Source organism: Homo sapiens, chromosome 13 (genome assembly GCF_000001405.40).
Source record: "Homo sapiens chromosome 13, GRCh38.p14 Primary Assembly".
Lineage (NCBI taxonomy): Eukaryota > Metazoa > Chordata > Mammalia > Primates > Hominidae > Homo > Homo sapiens.
In genome coordinates, this window is record NC_000013.11 from 22,547,726 (window position 1) to 22,556,296 (window position 8,571).

Consider the following 8,571-nt stretch of genomic DNA (forward strand, 5'->3'; position numbering starts at 1 on the left):
CTTTTCACTTGTTCCTCTGGATTTGATAAACAATTTTGTGCTATTTTCTTCTTCTAATAGAACTTTGCTCCCACACATCTCCTTTGTCCTCTTAAAGATATTACATATCTATATTTTAGAGGTCCAATTATATAAATATTACTTTACATAACTACTTTTAAATAACTTAGAAGAAAGAAGAGGTATGCAAAGATAAATTAAGTAATTTAGGGATAATTACTATTAGCAGTGCTCTTTTTCATGTAGACTTGAATTATTGTATGGGGTCATTCGCTTTTAGCCTAAGGAACTTCTGTGTGTCCTGTAAGGTGATATGCATCTAATGAATTATTTCAATTTTTGTTTATCTGAGGAGAGCACTGTCAAATTGTCAAGTACTAGTGAGAGCAGGCTTAAATACTCCCTCATCCACTGAGGTTAACAAAGGAAATGTAACCATTTAGCTTTGAGTTACCCTCACATACTAAACACAGAAAAACAACCAAGAATCAAGATAGAACAGAGGGGCACAGGTATTGTACAAACCAAAATTTTACAAATGACAAATTTTGGAGAAATAGCTAAATGCCATATGTATGTGTTGATGGTAGTGGAGGTCAGTAGGGAGAGGTGTTATCTGAGGTAGTCTCTATCCAGTAGGATGTACCTGGAGGAAGCAGTGGAACGTGGGCTACCAGACTGTATTAATAAAGGTGAGCAGGAGCTGACCACCCTAATAGTAGCAGCAAGATCAGCAAACCGATATCATTATTAAATGACTTCAAACCCTTTTCTCCTGGTCAATAAGGGATTACATTTGTTTGTCTGTTTTATCTGTAAAAAGTGTTAGGCATTTGAATGGCATCATCACGATGCTAACAAGTCTGTATACCCACAAGGTACTACCCTGGGCTTCTTATTTTCATCTACCAAGTATTTTTATGAGTGTCTAAATGGTTTTCTGAGCCAATAAATCTAACCCATCAGACGTGTGTATGTTGGACAGTAGGGAGGGAAAGGGGCATAAGAGAGAGAGGTTCATGAACACCTTCCAAGTTACGGGCATAACCAGTTGAGGAAATGAATATGACACTTAATGGAATTGGAACACTGAACAAGGAAAGACAAATCGTATCGGAAGAAAAAAAGATCTAGAAGCCATTTAGGCTCTTTTGAGACTTGAATGGGATAATGCATGCAAGGAGACCTAATAAAAGTAGTGCACAATACAAATATTGATGATGATGATGATTACCACCTAGCAGTCAGGGGATTGCAATGTGTACAGCATTTCAGAACCACTTCTATTACCTTCAACTATGTATTAAACACTGCCAAAATGTTTCTTGTTTTCTAGCATATGTTTTGGCCTTAAATATAAATGTTAATGTTAATTCTCTTTTACTCCCTGGCATCTCAATCTTCAGCTCTTTCTAATTTCACTCGGATAAACATAGCCAAGTATTTTCTTCCAAAATACATCTACACTACATCCAAGGGTTTTCCTACAGACAGATTCCCAGAACACCAAGCAAAAACTAAAAGTAGTAGTATAAACAAAAGCAACTTTATTTACAAAAACTCAACTTAAGATCTAACAGAGGAAGAGTGAGTCAACACTGCTCACCATCAACAGATGTTGTTAGAGGTCATTGTGGTTGTTTTTAAAATCTCTCAGTTGTTTTCAAACCTTAGTGTGCGTAAGAATCACCTGGTAGGCTTACTAAACTGAAAATTCCTGGGACCCACCTCCAGAGAATCTGATTTTATGATTGGAATGAGTTACAGGAAATTGCATTTTTAGCATAATCCTAATATAATAGAGAAGTACTTTCGTCCATGGGTCACACATAAAATGTCCATCACATTGGTCATTAGCATTGGGCATGTTTGTTGTCTCTCTGCCTACTTTTGAAGATTGCAACTGTTAGTAAGAGTAAGCATACCATGATGCCTAATGTCACAGCTGGGTAAGAAAACCCCACCTTCCCTGAATATCTGTAGATTTCAGCCTCTTCCTCCTGTTATTGCTTCCAAGGAATGCTCAGGAGTTGCCTTCTTGCTCGTATACCTGCCTTACACAGAAAATAACTCAGAAATGTTTCTAATTAGGCAAATCTAGTGATGAGTTATTTTAAAAAAAATTTGAGAAACTGTTCACCAGGGAAATGTGCAGATTTAAGTCTGACTTAATGGGGTTTGTTCAGAGGAGTGGGTATCAGTGCCAACTTTTACATAATTGCTTAAGATTTCCTTCTATGTCATTTAGCACTCTGTCTTCTTAAGAAGGTTCTTATGGTAAAAAAGAAAGTGTTGTCCCAACCTTCATTTCCCCTTCTCTTATGTCTTATTGGTGGAGAGATACAAAGTTTATAGCTATCAGAGAGTTACAAAATTGGGATTGTGTGAAGAGGAACACATTAGCTTTGGGGAATCACAAGTTTTGGACATTTCTTCACAGGATATATATGCGAGCTGTGATGCTGGAGCTCTCCCATCCAGCAAAAATGAAGATTTAACGTTTGAAAAATTGAAAGTAATGGAAAAATTATAATATTATAACCAAATGGACTTTACAAAGAGCCTTTCATAATTCAACCTATTAGTTGATGAGAAGCGTTTCTAAATGTTATTAATTAGGCCCAGATTAATTTTCTTTCATCCTATTTTGTTTCTCAGTTTCTTCTATATCAATAATTATACCTATAATTATAGTTGTGGCCATTTCCGAGGCTGGTATAAGTATTTAGATAAGAGAATCTCGTAGGAATATCTTGTAGGGATATGGATGGAATGTTCTTAGGTGGTATTATATATTAACATTATATATAGATATAATATATATTATATTATATAACATTAAATATTATATATTATATATTATATAAACATGGCTACTTGAGATAATGAAAGTGCTATAATATATATTATATATACTATATAAATATATAGATATAATTATATATGTGTGGGTGTTTACATTATATAATATATAGATATTAATACGTAATATCATACATATCTCTATATGCTCTTGGACAAATATTCAAAAATAACTATTTTGTTAGGTCACGGGTAGTAAATCTAAATTAATTACTTTAGTCCTAGAAATACAATGGTTGCTTATTAATGGTAGTCGTTTTTATTACAGTAATAACAAAAAATAAGCCTTTTCAAGATCTAAAACTAGAATATATTGTTTCTACCTTTTGTGGGATCTGAGCTTAAGAAGCATGAAGCAGTATAATATGTGTATTGTAAATAACCTTAAAGTAGAAACATCAACAACCTCACCATTTTCTTGAGTGTGATGCTGTCCTTTGGTGTACAGTGTGTACAGTGTAGTGTTTGTTAATATTGCAATGCTCCTTGCAAGTTGATGTGTGCCTTAGCTTCCTCGTGGCTATGGTGAACAGTTAATCCGAGTAGATATCTGGAAGAATGTACGCATGGTTGTCCCTCTTAGTAATATGATAGTTAGCATCTTTATCTTTACCTCAGCAGAAAAAGCAGGAATTCCTAGAGCCATGAGGGAACATTTGCAATCACTTCAAGAACACCGAGAAAGTAGCAAATAACTCTTTAGAGAAGGTTTTTAAGTTCCAAATGCCTGTTTTGTTTATTATTTTAGTACCCTTTTATTGTAGATAATAAATATTTGATAAATTCCCTGATTATATGATGATTTTGATTGCCTTTCTCTACCAAAATATTTCTAGTTGTTTACCATTCATCAGGTCCTTTGAGGACTTCTGCTTGTAAGTACTCAGAATATGTCGGGGGAAAAAAAAAAACACACACACACACACACAAAACTAAAGCAGGCAAATATTCTACTCTTCCTGTGTTGGGGTGATCAGACCCAACACCAGGCTGTGGGGGCTACGAAGTCCAGCAGAGTCAAAGGAATGAAAAAAGACAAGAGAGAAAGTGGGACCAGGGAGCCAACGGTAGTATGGAGGCTGCAAAGGCCCCAAGCTCTGGGGTCCCATGCTATTAATTGGTGATCACACAAAGAAACAGGTTGTGACGATGTGGGGGTTGAAAGGAAGCAGCGTATCAAGAGAATGAGCTACAGCTGTGACGGTTTAGCATTTTCTTTGAAACATATGGCTACTTGAGATAATGAAAATGCTAGAAGCAAGGAGCCAGCAAGTCTATACACATTCCAGAGACCAGGAAGGGTTTTAGACCCTGGACCCCTTACATGTTCCAAACCCTGCCTCAGCTTCTCTCCCAACACTCAGCTTTCCTCCCAACAACCTAGAGTTAACTGTCTAGCTGGGAAGAGGTGAAAGGGGACTAAATGCATATAAAAACAATAAATATGGTAAAGAATATGGTAGAATAAGTTATTCCAGAAAGTGATCAATATCATGGATGAAGAAAAAAGAAGAAAGTAGAGTTGGGGGAAGGGAGTCAAAGTATCAGGCTAGAGACGGGTGAAGAAGGATGTATTTCAATAAAGTGATTAGCATAGGTTTCTTTGAAAATATGACATCTAAACCAGGAGTTGAAAGATGAAGCAATTAACCATCATGTACCTGGGGAAAGATGTTACAGGAAGAGTAGGCAGCCAGGGCACAGGCCCGACAGTGGAGGGGCACCTGGTGCTCCAGGAATGGTCGGGAGGCCAGTGTGGCTGGAGCAGAGTGGGACAGGGCAGAGTAGGACTATGGTGGGGGGTGTGTAGGGCCTTGTAGATCTGTGAGAGCAGGGTGGGGAGCGCTTTTTCTTCACAGTGAATGTTATGTTTACTCTGAGGCTCGGGGGAGCCCGTTGAAATATCTGGTATGAACTGGTTAACGTTTTGAGGTATCTTTCTGGCTGCTCTGTTGAGAATGGATTGTAAGAGGGCCAAGGTGGACACAGTGTGTCTGGTTACGAAGCCACTGCAGTATTCCAGGTAAGACACAGTGGGTACTCACATCTCACGGTGGCAGTGGGACTGGTACGAAGTGGCCAGCATCTTTGCCTATGGCTCTGATGGAGAAGCTTTTATCAGAGTAACTAGCATACTTGTGTGTCTGGAATTGGTGGGTTCTTGGTCTCGCTGATTTCAACAATGAAGCCACAGACCCTCGCAGTGAGTGTTACAGTTCCTAAAGATGGTGTGTCTGGAGTTTGTTCCTTCTGATGTTCCAACGTGTCCCGAGTTTCTTCCTTCTGGTGGGTTCACAGTCTTGCTGACTTCGGGAGTGAAGCTGCAGACCTTCATGGTGAGTGTTACTGCTCATAAAGGCAGCGTGGACCCAAAGAGTGAGCTACAGCAAGATTTATTGCAAAGAGAGAAAGAACAAACCTTCCACAATGTGGAAGGAGACCCCAGGGAATCCCTGGACCTGGCGGGTGGCCTGCTTTTATTCCCTTATTTGGCCCCACCCACATCCTGCTAATTGGTCCATTTTACAGAGAGCGGATTGGTCCATTTTACAGAGTGCTGATTGGTCCATTTTACAGAGTGCTGATTGGTCTGTTTTGACAGAGTGCTGATTGGTACATTTACAATCTTTTAGCTAGACACAGAGCACTGATTGGTGCATTTACAATCCTTTAGCTAGACAGAAAAGTTCTCCAAGTCCCCTACCTGATAGCTAGACTGATTGGTGCATTTACAATCCTTTAGCTAGACACAGAGCACTGACTGGTGCGTTTACAAACCTTTAGCTAGACACACCAGAGTGCTGATTGGTGCATTTATAATCCTTTAGCTAGACAGAAAAGTTCTCCAAGTCTCCACCCGACCCAGAAGCCCACACAGCTTCACCTCTCAACTGGAACGCTGTAAAAAGTTGCGAAATTAAAACAGCAACAACAGCCTTCTGAAGATGATAGAGAACAGACAAGATATCTGTAACTTGAGTGGCCAAGATGCCCTGAGAGGGGGAAATGGCACTGAGGTGACCCCAATGTCACCCATCACGTCTCTTATCCAGACACTTACCAAGTTCTAAGGGGCACGAGCCTCGGAAGATCAAATGAAAGCAGTGGAGAGACCTCCAGCAAGCTTATAGGTTAGGGGAGACAAAGTTGAAATGTAGAGCTACCAAGGTGGCCTGGATTTAGAAGGAGCCAAGCCTGTCGGAAAGGTAACCATGGAAGGTGAGCCTGAAATTCCCTATTTGTAGGTTGGATGAGAGTGAGGGAATATGGTGCAGGTGAGAGGCCAGGAAGTCAAGCAAAGCAGTCACTAAGCATCCACTGGGAATGCAAACACTGGAAATTAAGGCAAGACCCAGAGAAAGGCACTGCAAACACTAACAAGCTTTCAGGTAAGGCTTCCAATGTATTATTTCCTAGGAGAGAAAGCAAACTAGAAAAAGTCTATCCTTCACTAAGACAGAAAGCTCATTTGAAACATCTTCATTCCAGAAAGGATCAAGTTGATCTGTACCTAGTGTAACAATCATCCAGATAAAGGGAAATAGTTCCTAGATGAAGATAATATCTTTCAGAGATATTGTCGTAACAAGCAACTGTGTTTTCAGAGATACTGCTGTAACAAGCAACAGTTGTCATTCAGTAATTTATTATCAGGCTTTGAAAAATATAGGACCAGGTGACCAAACACCAAGAGAAAAAATAGAAAGTAGTAGCAACTCCACAGATGATAAAGAGCCATCAGAGTCATATGTTTAAATAAGTAAATGGTAAGTTGGACATTTTCACTAGAAAATAAGAGTCTGTGAAACAGAATTAAATAGAAAGTAGTAGCAACTCCACAGATGATAAAGAGCCATCAGAGTCATATGTTTAAATAAGTAAATGGTAAGATGGACATTTTCACCAGAAAATGAGAGTCTATGAAACAGAATTAAATGGAAATCCTAAAGCTGTAAAGTAACCGAAATCAGCAACTCAATAAACAGTTTCAACAGCAGGTCAAACGCAGGAGAGTGGGTTAGTGAGCTGGAGGACAGATCTGTAGAAAATATCCTTATTTGAAACACAGAAAGAAATATTTACAAAAAGAGAGAGAAAGAAAAACAGTATGGAAAACAAAGGAGATTTTGAAAGATATAAAATGTGTATAATTGGTGTTCTAAACAGAAAAGAGAGGCATGGGGTGGAAGCAGTATTTGAGGACATAATGGCTGAGAATTCTCAAAACAGACAAAGGACCCAAGTCAAAGATTAAAGAAAAACTACGGACCACAAGCAAATTAAATTAAGAACAACAAAATGAACAACTGCACATTTAGCAGCATAGTAAAACTGCTAAAAGCCAAAGCCAAAGAAAGTTTTCAAAGCAGCCAAGGGAAAATAGGCACATTATCTTAAAAAGAGCAACAATGATACCCAGAGCTGAATTCTTAACAGAAATTATCTAAGCACAAAGAAAATGCAATAACAACTTTAACAGGCTAAAAGAAAATAATTGCCAATCCTGAATCCTTGACTTAGCAAAAGCAATCCTTTGAAAATAAAGATCTTTATAAACAGAAACAGAGGATTTATTGGCAGCAAATATGCAATGAAAGAAATAATCAGGGAGTTCTTCACGCAATAGGAAAATGATGAAAACCTGGAAGTACAGGAAGGAACAAAGAATTTAAAAGTGATGATATGGGTAAATCTAAATAACTATTTTTCCTGTATAACAATGTTAATAATGTCATATGCTTCAAAATATATGTAGAATGAAAGTTCCTGACCCTAGTAATAGCAAAAATAAGGTGAGGCTAGTAAAATTCAATCTTTGTATTGATGAAGAAATGATGGAAAGTATCTGTTTTTAGAGTGGCCCTAATCAATCAAGGATTTATATTGAAACCCCTAAAGCAATAATAATGATAATGATGAAAGGCTATATTACTAATAAACTAATAAAAAAGAAACAAAAATAGAACCATAAATGTTTCATTAAACTTGAATAATTCCAGAAAGGTACAAAATGAACTTGGGAAGACCTATTGTAAATAGTGCATAGATTTAATGTCAAATAACGCCAGTAAATGTTTCCATTAAAAAAACACGGATTCAGGATTTTTTAAAATCTCAAACATACAGTGTTTTAAAGAGATATGCCTTGAATGTAAGGACATAAAGGTTAAAAGTAAAAAGACGTAAATGATTTAACATGTAAAAACTAATGAAAACAAACTGGGATAGCCCTACTGACATCAGACAGAGCAGACTTTAAGGCAATGCTCATTATTGGAGACAAAGATATTTCCTAATGATAAAATGGCTAGTCCACTAGAAAGACAGAATTCTGAATTTGTTGGCAGCTAATAGAATAACATTAAAATATATAAAACTAAAAGCTGAAAGAACTGAAAGGAGAAACAGACAAGTCCGCACTCATAGTGAAAGACTAATATCCCACTCTCAATAACCAATAGAACACTAAAAAGAAAAAAAAATGATGCATGGACTATTTAAACATCATGCCTAACAAATTTGGCCTAATTGGCATATGCAGATCACTGCACTTAGCTTTTCAAGTGCACATAGCCTGGACCATAAGGCAAATATCACCAAATTTCACATCATTCAAACATACGGTGTAGTCTCTGCTACAGTGGAATTAAACTAGATATAAATAACAAAAAAATTATTAAGAGAGACTCATGAATTAACCATAAACAA

At 37.5% G+C, this 8,571-nt stretch overlaps 1 annotated feature.

The window, feature by feature from the left end:
* Positions 4,788 to 5,987: an enhancer, noted in NCBI's record as "BRD4-independent group 4 enhancer chr13:23126652-23127851 (GRCh37/hg19 assembly coordinates)". NCBI's record gives its function as "activates an origin of replication core promoter dependent on BRD2, P300/CBP, MED14 and CDK7 cofactors, and independent of BRD4, by STARR-seq in HCT116 cells {active_cell/tissue: HCT116}" and the evidence as "EXISTENCE:reporter gene assay evidence [ECO:0000049][PMID:35650434]".